Source organism: Homo sapiens, chromosome 9 (assembly GCF_000001405.40).
Source record: "Homo sapiens chromosome 9, GRCh38.p14 Primary Assembly".
Lineage (NCBI taxonomy): Eukaryota > Metazoa > Chordata > Mammalia > Primates > Hominidae > Homo > Homo sapiens.
The window spans coordinates 132,362,331-132,380,604 of NC_000009.12; the positions used below are offsets into that span (position 1 = coordinate 132,362,331).

At 45.5% G+C, this 18,274-nt stretch overlaps 1 protein-coding gene and 1 long non-coding RNA gene across 7 annotated transcripts in view, besides 1 other annotated feature; one reads left to right on the forward strand and one right to left on the reverse strand.

The window, feature by feature from the left end:
- Positions 10,412 to 10,706: an enhancer, noted in NCBI's record as "tiled region #6614; HepG2 Activating non-DNase unmatched - State 7:EnhWF, and K562 Activating DNase unmatched - State 6:EnhF". NCBI's record gives its function as "activates a minimal TATA promoter and a strong SV40 promoter by Sharpr-MPRA in HepG2 and K562 cells {active_cell/tissue: HepG2 | K562}" and the evidence as "EXISTENCE:reporter gene assay evidence [ECO:0000049][PMID:27701403]".
- LOC124902292 (uncharacterized) lies at positions 12,469 to 13,330 on the forward strand. Of its 2 annotated transcripts, XR_007061828.1 has the most exons (3): positions 12,469 to 12,555; positions 12,654 to 12,807; positions 12,911 to 13,330. It is a non-coding gene; the product is annotated as an uncharacterized LOC124902292 (long non-coding RNA). The 2 variants fall into 2 exon arrangements; XR_007061827.1 differs by having other exon boundaries at positions 12,654 to 13,330.
- TTF1 (transcription termination factor 1) overlaps positions 13,218 to 18,274 on the reverse strand; it is a 31,293-nt gene continuing 26,236 nt past the window's right edge. For all 5 annotated transcript variants that reach the window (NR_134525.2, NM_001205296.2, NM_007344.4 and 2 more), the window contains 2 exons: positions 16,729 to 16,814; positions 13,218 to 13,838 (listed from right to left, as the gene is read on the reverse strand). Coding sequence is in view for 4 of the 5 variants with exons in the window: in NM_001205296.2 (NP_001192225.1) it covers positions 13,585 to 13,838; positions 16,729 to 16,814 (340 nt within the window). In the remaining variant the exon portion in view is untranslated. The remainder of the gene's footprint in view (positions 13,839 to 16,728; positions 16,815 to 18,274) is intronic.

Genomic DNA, 18,274 nt, shown 5'->3' on the forward strand with positions numbered 1-18,274 from the left:
GAGGCAGGCAGATCACCTGAGGTCAGGAGTTCGAGACCAGCCTGGCCAACATAGCGAAACCCCGTCTCTACTAAAAATACAAAAATTAACCAGGTGTGATGGCAGACTCCTGTAATCCCGGCTACTCAGGAGGCTGAGGCAGGAGAATCGCTTGAACCCCGGAGGCAGAGGTTGCAGTGAGCCAAGATCTCACCACTGCACTCCAGCCTGGGTGACAGAACGAGACTCCATCTCCCGAAAAATAATAAAAATAAAAATAAAGGCTGGGCACGGTGGCTCACGCCTGTAATCCCAGCACTTTGGGAGGCCAAGGCAGGTGGATCACTTGAGGTCAGGAGTTCGAGACCAGCCTGGCCAACATGTGAAACCCTGTCTCTACTAAAAGTACAAAAACTAGCTGGTCGTGATGGTGCATGCCTGTAATCCCAGCTACTAGGGAGGCTGAGGCAGGAGAATTGCTTTAACTCAGGGGGTGGAGGTTGCAGTGAGCCAAGATTCCACCACTACACTCCAGCCTGGGCAACAGAATGAGACTCTGTCTCAAAATAAATAAATAAAATAAAATAAAGGCAGGAGCAAAATGCCTTTCATAAAAATACTGTATCCAATAATGACAAGTACCAAAGATACTATTTGGTGACTGACAATTATCTGCTACAAAACAGGAAACACAATATATTTACTGGATTGTTTTTCAGATTGCAGGTGCCCTCTGGCATCCAAAAGAGGGATTTCTCAAAATATAATCTGCAGTGAGATCCACTTCATCATTCATTTATATCAATTTTTTTTTCTTTAATTATTTGTATCTCCCTGCTCCACCTCACAGTGACACTATGTTACTAAAAGCATTAAATATCTGGGATTTATGCTTCAAACCAAGACATCATTTGAGTAATTTAAAATGATATACAGCTCTCATGTAAAAATGATGCTTTGTGGTCACAATTACCTCAAAAAGTAATTATTTCAAATAGCCTGAGGTATCATGCTTTAGCAATTACAGAAGCATGCTTTTGACACCTGGCAACTTTTAAAGTTAGGCAAATGTGAAATGCTGAAAGATGTGAACAGCTGTTCCTCTGTATAAGTTGAGAGTGCAGCAAACTCAGGTAATGTCTTTATTTTTTAAATTAACCTCATCAGCCCACAGTTATACATACTAAATCCAAGACTTTTGGAAATACAGATCCAAAGAAGGGAATACCTTTATCAAGTCACAAAAGTTTGCCAAATCAATATAGTAGTCTTTAATACAACACAGTCATACTTTTGTTGAAGTCTTATATTATTTTCATGAAAATTTTCACACTAAAAATATCCTTTAAGTGCAAAATTGCAACATTGTATATTTTAATGGTGGTTTTGAACGTGGCAAGATATTTTATACAAATTAATATGGGTTTTATTTTATTTTTTCTTTTTGAGACAGAGTCTTGTTCTGTCACCCAGGCTGGAGTGCAGAGGTGCAATCTTGGCTCACTGCAACCTCCGCCTCCCAGGTTCAAGCGATTCTTCTGCCTCAGCCTCCCTAGTAGCTGACACTACAGGCATGTGCCACCACACCCGGCTAATTTTTTGTATTTTTAGTAGAGACGGGGTTTCACCATGTTAGCCAGGCTGGTCTTGATCTCCTGACCTCGTGATCTACGCGCCTCGGCCTCCCAAAGTGGTGGGATTACAGACATGAGCCACCACACCCGGCCTAATACAGCTTTTAAATGTTGCAATTTAGGGATGGCACTGTGGTTCACATCTGTAATCCCAGCACTTTGGGAGGCCAAGGCGAGAGGATCACTTGAACCCAGGAGTTTGAGACCAACCTGGACACTACAATGAAACCCCATCTCTTAAAAAAATTGCAGTTTCTCCACTTCACATGAATGCCTTCTTGCAAGCTGTTGAAGTTTAATACAGCAGCGCAATTGTGTGTGTACAAAACGCTCTTCTTGATTCTGCGGTTGGCCCAAATCCAGATAGAGTTCCAAAGTACAAAGAGCCTTCAAATTCTATCTTAAGGAGATTCCACAGTCTTTAAAAGTATTTGTCAGTCGGGCGCAGTGGCTCATGCCTGTAATCCCAGCACTTCGGGAGGTCAAGGCAGGCAGATCACCTGAGGTCGGGAGTTCGAGCCCAGCCTGACCAACATGGAGAAACCCCCGTCTCTACTAAAAATACAAAATTAGGCCGGGCGCGGTGGCTCATGCCTGTAATCCCAGCACTTTGGGAGGCCGAGGGGGGCGGATCACGAAGTCAGGAGATTGAGACCATCCTGGCTAACACGGTGAAACCCCGTCTCTGCTAAAAATACAAAAAATAGCCGGGCGTGGTGACGGGCGCCTGTAGTCCCGCTACTCGGGAGGCTGAGGCAGGACAATGGCGTGAACCCGGGAGGCGGGGCTTGCAGTGAGCCAAGATAGCACCACTGCACTCCAGCCTGGGTGACAGAGCAAGACTCCGTCTCAAAAAAAAAAAAAAAAAATACAAAATTAGCCAGGTGTGGTAGCGCATGCCTGTAATCCCAGCTACTTGGTAGGCTGAGGCAGGAGAATCAGTTGAACCCGGGAGGCAGAGGTTGCGGTGAGCCAAGATTGTGCCATTGTACTCTAGCCTCGGCAACAAGAGCAAAACTCCACCTCAAAAAAAAAAAAAAAGTATTTGTCAATATTTTATGGTTTTTTGCATGGAGGACTTGCACAAATTCTATTAGGGTCGTTGCTTGGAATAGTTTGTTGTTGTTTTGTTGTTGTTTCTTTTTTTTTTTTTTGCACATGGAGTCTCGCTCTGTCACCCAGGCTGGAATGCAGTGGCACGATCTCAGCTCACTGCAACCTCGGCCTCCCAGGTTCAAGCAATTCTTCTGCCTCAGCCTCCCAAGTAGCTGGGATTACAGGTGCCCGCCACCATGCCTGGCTAATTTTTTTTTTTTTTGGTTGAGATGGGGTTTCGCCATGTTGGCCAGGCTGGTCTCAAACTCCTGACCTCAGGTGATCCACCTGCCTCAGCCTTCCAAAGGGCCGGGATTACAGGCGTGAGCCACCGTGTCCGGCCTCATTGCGTGGAATTGGATGGTCTTTTGGGTTATTATAAATGGTGACTGTGGGATGCAAAAGAATGGCCCCCAAAGATATTTATTTCCTAATGCCCAGAATCTGTGAATATGTTACATTTCACCACAAAAGGAAATAAGGGTTGTAGATGGAATGAAGGTTGCTAATCAGAGAGATTAAGATAGGGAGACTAGCCTGGGTTATCCAGGTGGGCCCAGTCTACTTCCATGAACCCTTAAAAGTGAAAGACAGGCAGAAGAATGGGCCTAAGAGGTGCCACCTGAGAAGGATTCAATGGCCTTGCTGGCTCTGAAGCTGGAAGGAGCCACAAGCCAAGAAATGCAGTGGCCTCTAGAAGCTGGGAACAGCCTTCAGTTCACAGAGAGCAAGAAAACAGTCCTGCAATCACAGGGAACTGAATTCTACCAAGCCATGAGCAGAGAACATTCTCTCCTAGAGCCTTAGAAAAGAATGCAGCCCTGTTGGCATCTTGACTGTAGCTCTGTGAGAGCTATCTAGAACTTCTCAGCTGCACAGCTGTAAGATACTAAACTTCTGTTGCTTTAAGCCACTGAGTTTGTGATATTTGTTATGGCAGCATAGACATTTAGTAGAGATTTACTTTAAAATGTTTATTTTCTGTTTTTGTATCTAGTAACTTTACCTAATTATTAATTCCCATACATTTTCTAAAGATTCTTTTAGATTTCCTGTATTTTCAATCAGATCATCTGAATTATAGCAGTTTTATATCCTCATTTCCAATCCACGTAGCTTTTACTTCCTTTTCTTGCTTGACTCACAGGCTGGATAATGCTGTAAAGAAGTGGTGAGAGTATACATCATTCTCTTTTTTTTTTTTTTTGAGAGATGGAGGGTGGGTCTTGCTGTGTTGCTCAGGCTGGTCTCGAACTCTTGGGCTCAAGAGATCCTCCCACCTCAGAGTATTATTCTTTTTCTTAATCTGAATGAGAAATTTTTCACCTATAACAATAACGTTGACTACCAGTTTTTGTAGATACCTTTATCTAATTAAGGAAACTGCCATCTCTTCCTATTGAATGGATTTAAAAGTTATCAGTGTAATTTATTTTTTGGTTTCTCATAATTTTTCTTCTTTATTAACATGGTGGATTGCACTGATGGGTTTTCTTTCTTTTCTTTATAAAAAATTTTTGGTGGCTATTTGTTCCTTTTTCTTTTTTTTTTTTTTTATTGTTGAAGGGGAATTCACATAACATAAAACTAACCATTCTGAAGTGAACAGTTCCATGGTAATACACTCACAATGTTGTGCAACCACTTTAAATAGTTCCAAAACATTTCGTTACCCTTAAATGAAACCGCACACCCATTCAGCAATTGTTCCCCACTTCTCTCAGGCTCTGGCAACCACAAATCCGCTTTCTGTCTGTATAATTATCAATTCCATTTCGTATAAATGGAATCAGGCAATATGTAACCTTTTGTGTCTGGCTCCTTTCACTGAGCATGATATTTTCAAGGTTCCTTCACGCTGTAGCATGGATCACTACTTCATTCCTTTTTGTGGCTGAATAGTATCCTATTGTATACCATTTTTTGTTGATCCGTTCCACTGAGTTTTATATGTCTATTATTTTCTTTTTTCAGTTACTATTCTGTTTGTTTTATTTAATAACTGGTTGAAGGCCAGCTACGGTGCTTTGCTTACCTTATGGGTTTCCACTTTCACCAACTTTCTTGCCAGCTCATTGATGCATTTAATAACATTGAATAAAACCTTTATTCAACCTTTCTGGTGTTCAGAGGGAGGTCGGGGCAGTCTGGATACCTACACTGCTAAACTGCTAAAAACAAATCCCTATGCAATTTTTTTAAAACCCAGAATGATTTTAATATATGTTTTTTCTCTTAAAAACAGCTACAGTGGGCTGGGCGCGGTGGCTTACGCCTGTAATCCCAGCACTTTGGGAGGCCAAGGTGGGAAGATCACTTGAGGTCAGGAGTTCTAGACCAGCCTGGCCAACATGGTGAAGACCTGTCACTACTAAAAATGCAAAAATTAGCCGGGCATCATGGTAGGCACCTGTAATCCCAGTTGCTTGGGAGGTTGAGGCAGGAGAATCGCTTGAACCTGAGAGGCGGAGGTTGCAGTGAGCTGAGATTGCACCACTGCACTCCAGCCTGGGCGACAGAGCAAGACTCCCTCTCAAACAAACAAACAAACAAAAAATAGCTACAAAGGCCTTGGAAAAAGTGATGTTGAAAAAAGTTTTGAGTACATAAAAGTTTAAGGTAAAAAGCACCCTGCATCTTGCCATATATTCAACAGACATCGAGTAAATCCTCACTGGAGGGTGGTTATGACCAGTCAGTGGCATTCACATTCAAAGGGAGGCACAGGCATTAGGTTAGCAATTTCCACTGTGCTGAAAGTTACACAAGGGTGAGTACAGGGTGTTCCGAGAGCCTTCTCCTTCCCAACTGGGTTAAGCCCTTCCAAGGAGGCCTGTATTCTCAGTCCCGCCTTCAGACCTGGGCAAGCCCTCAGGGACCCTTGCTGTTTGGAGTGACTTCTCAACGTTTTCAAAGTCCCTCTCTACTGCGTGGGACAAGTTGGGGCTGGCAGTACTGTTCCCAGACCAAGCCCAGGCCGGGTCTGGCTGCGTGTTCTAGTGGCTCAGTAACGAGAAGCAGATAAACTAAGAAAGGAAGTTTATTGCTGTAACCAGATACAGGGAGAAGGTCGGAGATAGTTTCACCAGACCAACTCGAAGCATTACAATTTTCTCAGTGCTTACGTGTGTGGGGGTTATATGGCTATGTGTGGTATCGCATTCGGCTAAGTCTATAGGTGACTAATTTTGTTCTAACTAGAAGGTTAGGAGCCAAAAATGCCTTCTAAGTTTAATGAATCTATGAGGACCCCAGTATCATCAAGGCCTGTCTCCCAAATTCTAATTAATGAGGACTGTGGTACTGAGGTGATTATTTCTATCTTCTCTCTTTAACGGTTTGGTCCAGAGAGCTGCCTTAGACTATCCAGTAAATCTGTTCGCACAGCTGCCTTTGTTACCTTGACGCGTCCCGGATTTCATTGACCTGAGACGGGTCCTGGCACAAGGAATGTAAGGCTGTCTCCATTATCTTGACTTGCTCCAAGTTTGGGAGAAGCCTGTGCAAAGCTTCTCCTGAACGTATGTTTCATTTCTGGCTTTGAGATCTGGGCATCGATTTCTCTGGGTCTAATTATTAGCTCAATGTTAAGGCAGTGCTGTGGAAATGTGTCTGTGTAACTGGGGTGCTATGCAGGCCTGTCTGTGTTACTGTCAGGGAGAATTGGCCTGGCCCAGTACCTTCCCTGGGCAGAGCCTAGAGCAGGACTTTGAGGTCCTCAGCTCCAATTCTCCCTGTTGGGGGCACCCTCCAACTCTCTACCCCTAACCCCTGCACGTGGGGTGGACCAGATGCTCCCAGGAGCTTGGGGAAACTTGTACTGAGGGGCTTCTTCCAGAGCTATGTGTCTGGCTCTGGTTCTAGGAAGGTAGGGTGGTGGGCCAATTCAGCTGACTAGTGAGCTGTTTCTTTTGCAGAATTGCCTGAGATTGGACCACCAGCATGGTGTCTAGAAAATGACTTTGGGGTGTCTCAAGTTGCTTATATAGACAGGAATCCTGGCTCCCCCTCCTCCAAATTGCCAGCCACCCCTTCCCCTTCCCCTTCCCCGCAAGGATAGCCCTGCCTATAATTCTTTGTAGCATTCAACATGATTGTGATTGTCTATTGTCTTCCTGCCTGGCTTCTTTCCTTCCTCTTTTCCTCCTTCCCCTACTATTCCCTTCCTTCCATTCATTCAGTCAACCCAGACACCATTCAAGGTTCTGGGGGATGTGGGAATAAATGCATTTCTGCTTCCTTGGAGCTTATATTCTGAGGCAGGAGCTGGGCAGTAAAAAAGTAATTCAAAAAGCAGGATAGAGATAAATGCTATACACATAACACCAGAATGAGGTAAATTCATGGGGGTCTACTTGGCACCGGGGGGAGGTCAGATAATGTCTTCTCTCTGAGGAAACCTCATTTGAGTGGAAACCTAAATGAGGAGTCAGTCTTGCAAAAATGAACCTTCCACTCTTTTCCATTGAGTAGAAAATTAAATGAGGAGTCAGCCTTGCAAAGTTTTGTTGCATTGTTCTAGCGAAGAAACGGTACCTGCAAAGGCCATGGGGTGTTTCCTGCTATTCATTCATTCATTCAACAGCAGGTTCCTGGAGTGTGGTGGGTGAGAGGAATAAGAGCCTGAGACAGGGCTGAAGAGATCAGCAACAGCACATTGTGCGAAACCCCTGTAGACACGATGACATAGAGTTTGAATATTATCCAAAAGCATGTGGGAAGCCATTTCAAGGTTTCTTTCTTTCTTTCTCTCTCTCTCTTACTTTCTCTCTCTCTCTCTGTCTTCTCTTTCTTTTTTGACAGAGTCTCGCTCTATCACCCAGGCTGGAGTGTAATGGCATGATTTTGGTTCATTGCAACCTCTGCCTCCTGGGTTCAAGCAATTCTCCTGCCTCAGCCTCCCAAGTAGCTGGGATTGCAGGTTCCCACCACCACACCTGGCTAACTTTTGTATTTTTAGTAGAGACAGGGTTTCACCATGTTGGCCAGGCTGGTCTCGAACTCCTGACCTCAGGTGATCCCCCTGCCTCAGCCTCCCAAATTGCTGGGATTACAGGCATGAGCCACCACCCCTGGCCCCATTTCAAGGTTCTCAACAGGGTGGTGCAGTATCAGTTGTGCAGATGTGGGGACTACAGATTGGAGAAGGGCTGGTAGGGGAAGCAAGGAGATCAGTGTAACTCAGAGAATGAAGCCTGAGATCACGGCAGGTGGCAGTGGAGGTGGCTAGACTAGAGTCCAGGTGGGCTTGGAGACAAATGTGGTGGGGTGGGGTTTGCTCTTAGGTTGGATGTGGAGGTCCTGGAGGAAAGGATGGAAACAGGATGACTTCTAGGTTTCTGACTTGAACAAACAGAACGACAATACTGTTAGGTAGTTAGATGGACATTAGCAGCTGGGAGAGGGAGAGAGAAGAAAGCAGGAGGGCTGTCACTAAGACCAGCCCTAGCCCACCTAAGTTCAGCCTGAGACCGTCCTAACTCCACCCTAATGGATGGAATTTATGGTACAATCTGGGGCCAGCACATCCTGGAGAAAGAAAAACTGGGGCACAGATAACGATGGCCTAAAGCCACACGTGCCCAGTCCATGTAGGCCATAACCCAGGGAAAACCCATCCTCATTATAGTCGTTATAATAAAATTTACATGTGGTTTTGCCTCTCTGAGTGGGCTTTTCTTAATGAATTATGGGTAAAAACATGCGCAGTTTAACTTCAGGGATATAACCATAAACTGCCAATCAAATGATATCATCCTGTCACTCAAACACAGCCCAAGCCTCAACTCCTCCAACAAACCCCATAAAAGCACCTTGATTTTTGTAAAGAGGGGCTGATTTTACTTCCCAGAAATGAGCCTGCTCTCCCTCAGAGTGTTTTACTGTGTTGCAATAAATCTTGCTGTAAGCTTGCATTTCAGTGTTAGTTTGCCTTTTTTTTTTTTTTTTGAGATGGAGTCTCGCTCTGTCGCTCGGGCTAGAGTGCAGTGGCGCAATCTGCCTCAGCCTCCCGAGTAGCTGGGACTACAGGCGCCCGCCACCATGCCCGGCTAATTTTTTTGTATTTTTAGTAGAGATGGGGTTTCACCGTGTTTGCCAGGATGGTCTCGATCTCCTGACCTCGTGATCCATCTGCCTTGGCCTCCCAAAGTGCTGGGATTACAGGTGTGAGCCCAGCCTAGTTTGCAATTCTTTGCTCACTATCACAAGAACTGAGATTGCTGGTCCAGAGCTCCAGCTCTGTTGATCTTGGTTAAAGAATCCATTCCAACACAGGATGCCCGGTAACAATACCACTGGCAGAGATGAGGAAGCCCGGGGGACAAGTGACAGATTTTGAGATGGGTGTCAGCAATTAGAAAGTTATTTGTGCTGGGCGCGGTGGCTCACGCCTGTAACCCCAGCACTTTGGGAGGCCGAGGCAGGCGGATCACCTGAGGTCGGGAGTTCGAGACCAGCCTGACCAACATGCAGAAACCCCGTCTCTACTAAAAATACAGAATTAGGCAGGTGTGGTGGCACATGCCTGTAATCCCAGCTACTTGAGAGGCTGAGGCAGGAGAATTGCTTGAACCCGGGAGGAGGAAGTTGCGGTGAGCCAAGATCACATCATTGCGCTCTAGCCCAGGCAACAAGAGCAAAACTCCATCTAAAAAGAAAGAAAGAAAGAAAGAAAGTTATTTGTAATATAATAGATTTCAGGTGTAATACCTGAGTGGAGATAGTGAGTAGGCAGATGAATTTTTTTATCCTGGAGTTCGGGGGAGAATCTGACCTGTAACTATACACTTGGGAGGAGGGATCAGCATATACACATTATTTCAAGGCATGGAGAGAATGTGAAGAAGCCCAAAATTGAGCTCTGAGGAACACTAACTTTTCAATGTTGAGTGCAGCGGGAGGAGTGTAGCAGAAACTAATTGAGTCCATATATATATACATATATACACACATATTTTAAATTAAGATGAGTTACACTAGAGCCTGTTTGTATGGTGTTAATGGTCCAGAACAGAAGGCTGACAATTTAGGAGAAGGATCAACAAAATATCAAAATCTCAGAAAATGCAGGTGGTAGCCAGGCACTCACACCTTGTAATCTCAACACTGGGAGGCAGAGGTGGGAGGATCACTTGAGCCCGGGAGTTCAAGACCAGCCTGGGCAACATACGGAGACCATGTCGCTACACAAAAATAAAAAATAAAAATTAGCTGGTGTGGTAGCACATGCCTGCTGTTGTCCCAGCTACATGGGAGGCTGAGGTGGGAGGATTGCTTGAGGCCGGGAGGTCAAAGTTGCAATCAGTCGTGATGGTGCACTCCAGCCTGGGCAACACAGTGAGACCCTGTCTCTTTAAAAAAAAAAGGAAAAAAAAAGCAGGGGGATGGGCTGCAGGAGCTTAGGTGTAGGGATCGGCGTAAGTGTGGCTGGAGGTAGGTTTGTCTGCTTGGTGGAGGGAGGAGGGAGCTTATGTCTTATGGCTTCACTTTCCTAAGTGGATTATACATGAGGCAGAAAGGGAGTGTGAGAGGGCTGACTGTGCACGTGAGCTGATGTGGGGAAAAGCAAAGCAAGCCTACTAGAGATTCAGAGTAGCATCCTTTGGTAACATTGTGTCCGTTTGAGCTTTATCATCATTAAAGTGAAATCTGCCAGCTCAGTTGTAATTTTCTTCTGGGAATATTCAGCTCTTCAGGTGCAGGTAACAGGCAAAGGGAAGGGCTCACCCAGATCTGGTGTCTTAAACAGGGAAGTGCCTCAGGGGGAGAGAATGCCAGGATGGAGGGTGTTCAGGAAGGTGATTGTGGCAAGGGACCATGTGACAGCCTGGGTAAGCTGGGAGTGACCTGATAGCACCGAGGGAGGCTGAGAATGCCTGCTCATGTATTTCAGGAAATAAACAGGAAATGGTGTTCAGGAAGTGCTGGACTGTGTAGCCTCCAAGAAAGCAGGCCCCAAGGCTGTACTGTCAATGCTTGTTTTTTGTTTTTTTTTTTTTGAGACGGAGTCTCTGCCGCCCAGGCTGGAGTGCAGTGGCGGTATCTCGGCTCACTGCAACCTCTGCCTCCTGGGTTCAAGTGATTCTCCTGCCTCAGCCTCCCGAGTAGCTGGGATTACAGGCACGCACCACCAGGCCCAGCTAATTTTTGTATTTTTAGTAGAGATGGGGTTTCACCATGTTGGTCAGGCTCGTCTCGAACTCTTGACCTCCCGATCCTCCCGCCTCGGCCTCCCAAAGTGCTGGGATTACAGGCGTAAGCCACTGTGCCTGGCCTGTCAATGCTTGTCTTTTTAGCTCCTAACAGTACCTGGCTCACTGCACGTGTTCACCAATGTTTGTTGAGCTGCACTTGTCAAAGTGAAGGTGGTGCTATGAAGTCAGTGGATGTCTTGGTCTGGCTAAGATGCTAATTTCTGACCTACTTGGTATCTGCCATGCTGGGCCACTTTGTTGGGTAATGAAGTCCATCAGTGAAGACAAACAGCTGAAACACATGACTAGGGACAAGGACAAAATGACCAAGAACTGAGCCAAGAACTCGAATAATGCATAGTCAAGGCTGTTTAAAAACAATTTTATGGGCCAGGTGCTGTGGCTCACGCCTGTAATCCCAGCTACTCTCAGGAGGCTGAGGCAGGAGAATTGCTTGAACCCGGGAGGCGGAGGTTGTAGTGAGCCGAGATCACACCACTGCACTCCCGCCTGGGTGACAGAGACTCTGTCTCCAAAAAACAAACAAAAACAAAACCAATTGTACATGTTCCACAGCCTTAGTTCTTGTGAGGTGGGTATTGTCTTTCTCTTTTTACCTTTGTTCGCTTTCTGAGTCACTTTCTTTAGTAAAAGGTGAGATTTATAGGATCTGAAACCAGAACATTGACTCACTTTTTTTTTGAGACAGTCTCACTCTGTCGCCAGGCTGGAGTGCAGTGGCGTGATCTCGGCTCACTGGAACCTCCGCCTCCCAGGTTCAAGTTATTTTCCCACCTCAGCCTCCTGGGCAGCTGAGACTACAGGCGCAGACCACCACACCCGGCTAATTTTTGGTAGAGATGGGTTTTCACTATGTTGGCCAGGCTGGTCTCGAACTCCTGGCCTTGAGTGATCCACCCACCTCAGCCTCCCAAAGTGCTGGGATTACAGGCATAAGCCACCATTGCCCAGCCTCTGTTAATTTTTTTTTTTTTTTTTTGACACAGGGTCTCTGTCACCCAGGCTGGAGTGCAGTGGTGTGATCTCAGCTCACTGCAACCTCTGCCTCCCAGGTTCAAGCGATTCTCTTACCTCAGCCTCTCAAGTAGCTGGAATTACAGACACACGCCACCATGCCCAGCTAATTTTTTTTTGTTTGTTTTTTTTTTTTGGTAGGGATGGAGTTTCATCATGTTGGCCAGGCTGGTCTCAAACTCCTGACCTCAAGTCATCCGCCTGCCTTGGCCTCACAAAGTGCTAGGATTACAGGTGTGAGCCACTATGCCCGGCCTCTTCAGGCTTTGATGTATCTTACCAAATTGCCCTCCAAAAGGAACATAAAATTTATATTAAGTTCTTCTCCATTTGAAATATCTCGGGTGGTTTTGCTTTCCTGATTGATGGAATAGCCCACCATTGAAATTATCTTTGAATATCCAACAGGAGTTGTGTGTTGACACTGACACATTTTTTTTTCTTTTCTTTTTTTTTAGGAGTCTGGTCTGTCTCTGTTGCCCAGGCTGGAGTACATGGTACCATCATAGCTCACTGCAGCCTCAAACTCCTGAGCTCAAGTGATCCTCCCACCTCAGCCTCCTGAGTAGCTGAGACTATCGGCTGCACTACCACACCTGGATAGCACCTTTCGATAAGTATAACAGAGTGTCCCCTCCCCTCCTCTCCCTCCACCCCTCCCTCCTTCCCTTCCTTCCTTCCTTTTTACAGAGACAAGTTCTCACTATGTTGCCAGGCTGGTCTCGAACTCCTGGGCTCAAGTGATACTCCTGCCTTGGCCTCTCAAAGTGCTGGGATTAGACGTGAGCCACTGTGCCTGGCCTAAGTCAGTATTTCTACAAGCAATGGAAGAGATTGCTGATTTTTGTTTGTTTTCAGTTAAATACCAGGTAAGTTCAATGACTTGCTTTGACAGGACATCTTATATGAAAAATACCTATCTTTGAACACTAGAATCAAACTCAGGAAGTTGAGCTATGTACACTATGATAGGTACAAGGGAAAGAGACCGGTTTGAGAGAACAGTGGATTCACAACTTCCATCTAACACGAATGTGATCCATATATACATGGAGAGCAGACATCTAAACAACTGGAAACACAGCAGAAGGGCATGCTTTTTCGAAATTGTTACCTTTCTCATTTTCGCTCAGTACCCATATAGCTGAACTCACGTAATGAAATGTTCATAGAATGTGACCCTATTCTCTGCTACAATTAGAGGGATTTGTGAAACTTTTGTCATTTAATAAAACCATTAGTTGTAATTATTTATTAAATCAATTCATATGTTCCTCTCTTTTCACATTCAAATACGTTTTAATAGGAATGGCAATATATTTTAATGCTCCAGAGGAAAGAGTAGAACTCTGGCCATTGTACATTCTTTATTAAACATCAATACTGAAAACAGATTTACTGACATATGTATATAAATATAATCAAACTGAGAAAAAGGGACAAGAAATAGTAATCTCTCTCTCTCATGCGGTGGTGCGATCTTGGCTCACTGCAACCTCCACCTCCTGGGTTCAAGCAATTCTCCTGCCTCAGCCTCCCAAGTAGTTGAAATTACAGGTGTGCACTACCACACCCGGCTAATTTTTGCATTTTTAATAGTGACAGGTCTTCACCATGTTGGTCAGGCCGGTCTCGAACTCCTGACCTCAGATGATCCACCGGCCTTGGCCTCCCAAAGTACTGGAATTACAGGCGTGAGCCATGCATGGCGCCTGGCCTTCGCTTTCTTTTTCTATGTCCTCTCCTTCACTATCGTCTTCATAATAAAAGATGTCTCGAAATGGGAAAACTTGCTTGGGTGCTGCAGGAGTCTGGATTTTAGTGCCTTTTTTCTCCATCATTTTTTCTAACTTTTCCTTCAGCAAAGGTAGAGTCGTCTCATAAAGGTAGTCGATGATCTCTACAGAAAAGAAATTTAATTGTGCAGTTATCTGTCTGTACAAGGCCTCTTATCAAGGTCGAGGCATACAGGAGGCTGGTAATGAATATGAACTGCTCTTGTTATTGCTGTGTGTAAGGTCTGGTTCCAATTGGTTTACCCACATTCACTTCTTCAATCCTTGCAAAAATCCTACGAGGTAGGCACTGTTTTTAACTTGTTTTTCAATTGAGGAAACCAAGGCATAAAGACATTAAGAGACTTGCCCGAGGCCTTGGAATTCATAAGGATTCAAACTCGGGTAGTGATGTCTGCTGAACGCAAAGACGCATTTCATCACAGCCCAGGGTACGATATCACCCAAATGGCAGGTCCAGGAGAAATACCAGTGCCGTGCAGACTGCATGAGAGAGCACAGGCCTGCAAGCTCGTTAGTGAAAATCCAGGTTCTGGACTCGGTCTAGAGACTAGGAATTGGTACGTAGGTCTGAAATGAGGCCCAGAAATCTGTATCCTTTTTTTTTTTTTTTTTTGAGATAGGGTCTCGCTCTGTCACCCCAGCTGAAGTGCAGTGGTGCGATCACACTCACTGAAGCCTGGAACTCCCAGGATCAAGCAATCCTCCCACCTCAGCCTCCCCCTCCCACCTCAGCCTCCCAAGTAGCTGGGAACACAGACAAGCACCACCATGCCTGGACACTTTTTGTATTTTTTGTAGAGATAGGTGTGTGTGTGTGGGAGGGTCTCTCTTATGTTGCCCAGGATGGTCTTGAACTCCTCGTCTTACAAAGTGTTGGGATTACACACATAAGCCACTGCATCTGGCCAGAAATTTGTGTTTTTAACAAGTTCCTCACATGGCTCTGATGATCTGAGTTTGGGACTTACATATCTAAACCACCCACAAATGGCTACAAAGAAGGAACTGGGTGTCTTTTATTCTTTCTGGAATATGTGTATGCTTCTGTGTATGTGTGTACATGCATGTGGTGTGTGTGAGTGCATGCATGTGGTGAGTGCATGCATGTGGTGTGTGAGTGCATGCATGTGGTGTGAGTGCATGCATGTGGTGTGAGTGCATGTGGTGTGAGTGCATGTGGTGTGTGTGAGTGCATGCGTGTGGTGTGAGTGCATGTGGTGCATGTGAATGCATGTGGTGTGAGTGCATGTGGTGTGTGTGTGAATGCATGTGGTGTGAGTGCATGTGGTGTGTGTGAGTGCATGTGGTGTGTGTGAGTGCATGTGGTGTGAGTGCATGTGGTGTGTGTGAGTGCATGCATGTGGTGTGAGTGCATGCATGTGGTGTGTGTGAGTGCATGTGGTGTGTGTGAATGCATGTGGTGTGTGTGAGTGCATGCATGTGGTGTGAGTGCATGCATGTAGTGTGAGTGCATGTGGTGTGTGTGTGAATGCATGTGGTGAGTGCATGTGGTGTGTGTGAGTGCATGTGGTGTGTGTGTGAATGCATGTGGTGTGAGTGCATGTGGTGCGTGTGAATGCATGTGGTGTGTGTGAGTGCATGTGGTGTGTGAATGCATGTGGTGTGAGTGCATGTGGTGTGTGTGAGTGCATGTGTGTGTGAGTGCATGTGGTGTGAGTGCATGTGGTGCGTGTGAATGCATGTGGTGTGTGTGAGTGCATGTGGTGTGTGTGCATGTGGTGTGAGTGCATGTGGTGTGTGTGAATGCATGTGGTGTGTGTGAATGCATGTGGTGTGAGTGCATGCATGTGGTGTGTGTGAGTGCATGTGGTGTGAGTGCATGTGTGTGTGAGTGCATGTGGTGCGTGTGAATGCATGTGGTGTGAGTGCATGTGGTGTGTGTGAGTGCATGCATGTGGTGTGAGTGCATGTGGTGCGTGTGAATGCATGTGGTGTGAGTGCATGTGGTGTGTGTGTGAATGCATGTGGTGTGTGAGTGCATGTGGTGTGTGTGAGTGCATGTGGTGTGAGTGCATGTGGTGTGTGTGAGTGCATGCATGTGGTGTGTGTGAGTGCATGTGGTGTGTGTGAGTGCATGTGGTGTGTGTGAATGCATGTGGTGTGAGTGCATGTGCGTGTGAATGCATGTGGTGTGTGAGTGCATGCATGTGGTGTGAGTGCATGTGGTGTGTGTGAGTGCATGTGGTGTGTGAATGCATGTGGTGAGTGCATGTGGTGTGTGTGAGTGCATGTGGTGTGTGTGTGAATTCATGTGGTGTGAGTGCATGTGGTGCGTGTGAATGCATGTGGTGTGTGTGAGTGCATGCATGTGGTGTGAGTGCATGTGGTGTGAGTGCATGTGGTGTGTGAATGCATGTGGTGTGAGTGCATGTGGTGTGTGTGAGTGCATGTGGTGTGTGTGAATGCATGTGATGTGAGTGCATGTGGTGGGTGTGAGTGCATGTGGTGTGAGTGCATGTGGTGTGTGAATGCATGTGGTGTGAGTGCATGTGGTGTGTGAATGCATGTGGTGTGAGTGCATGTGGTGTGAGTGCATGTGGTTGGTGTGAGTGCATGTGGTGTGAGTGCATACGTGTGTGAGTGCATGCATGTGGTGTGTGTGAGTGCATGTGGTGTGAGTGCATGTGGTGTGTGTGAGTGCTTGCATGTGGTGTGGTGCACGGGCATGTCATGTGTGCATGTGCTGTGTGCACGAGTGTGTGTGTGTGATGGCAACACCAGCAGGACTCAGTTATTTACAGAGTGGTCGCTAAGTGTCAAGCACCGGGATGACCACACCCTACACGTTCATGCTTCATTTAGGACTTCTGGAAGTCCTGTCAGATAGGGATTATAATCTGCCTGTTTCCACCATTTTGCAGCTGATGAAGCTGAGGCTCTAAGTCCAGTCACCTGCCTAGGTGACTTTCATTACCAGCATGTGGCACCAAATGCCATGTTCTTAGCCATATAAATATTAAGAATACTAACCTGGAAAAGTCTTTTTCTGCCAAAATGGAACATAGACAGCTTTCAGCCTAGAAAATTTAGTTTGAACGTAAGATGGAGGAACATCACTTTAGAAAAGGAAAGAAAAGATAAAAAGCAAGTTAGTTTAAAAATCTATCATTTCAATACAGTGTAGTAAGTACATTTATTCAGGTGAGGTTTATAGTTTTTTTTATCGTAAACATAAGATCATCATACATGTGTGATACAAATATGACACAATTTTTGTGGAATATGGAAAGCTATTGTTTATTTGGTTTAAAAAAATGTAAAGGGGAAAAAGAATCAGTAGTACAGAATGGATTCTATTTAAATTAAGATAACTTGTATCACTAGTCGAGAAGGCAAAGTATAGAAGGCAAAGTATAATGCCGGCTAACGGGCTGATGCTTACCTTGTGCTCAGCCCTGCCCTAAGCACCTTAACTGCAGCAATAAATAATCCTCACGACAACTCAAGGAGGGAGTTACCACTCTCTCCCTCGTGCTGGAGAGACGAGGAAACTGAGGCACAGAGAAGTTGCCCAAGCTCACATGGCTAATCAGGGATAGAGCTGGGACTTCATCAAGTAGTGTGACTCCAGATCCTACCCTCTTAACCATTACACTCAGGACACATACATATTGGTCACAATTCAAAGACAGATGTTCCCTGATGTTTATTTCACAAAGCTAAAAAGAGCAGATGCTTATGAGGTTTTGGTACGTTTTCAATTTACAAAACATTTCAATTTACAATAAGTGGGTCAGAAATTATTCTTAAATTGTATTTTAAAGTAAAAAACCACTAAACTTTTTGGGCACTTTTTCCTAATAAAAGGGGAACATTAAAAAACAATTAACTAATCCAGTTGTTAAAATGATTAGCATGAAGAATTTGATCTGCTAAGTATGTAGAGGTAAAAGATGATCAGATTCTTCCGACCTCTTCATCACAGCAACCACTAGCTGAGGACGTATGTGCCAGGTACCAGACAATGTCTCTTTCTCGCATTATCTTCTTTTTTTTTTTTGGATGGAGTCTCGCTCTGTCACCCAGGCTGGAGTGCAGAGGCACATTCTCAGTTCACTGCAACTTCTGCCTCCAAGGTTCAGGTTGTTCTCCTGGCTCAGCCTCCTGAGTAGCTGGGATTACAGGTGCCCACCACCACGCCCAGCTAAATTTTTGTATTTTTGTATTTTTAGTAAAGATAGGGCTTCACCATGCTGGCCAGACTGGTCTTGAACTCCTGACTTCAGGTGACCCACCTGCTTTGGCCTCCCAAAGTGCTGGGACTACAGGCATGAGCCACTGCACCTGGCCCATTATCTCCTTTAGCCTTCCTGACAGCCTATTAAACCATAATGCAGATGAGGAAACAAAGGCTCAGACAAATAGGGAACAACTGCCCACAGACTTTAAGTGGAGTCCCTGGACTCTATGCCAAATCTGTCTCACTCTGAAACCCCAGCTCTACGGCAGCCTGTGCCTTTTCCCTTCCCATAATGCTGTGCGCCCAACATGCTGCAGACCCAAGCCCATGCTTCAG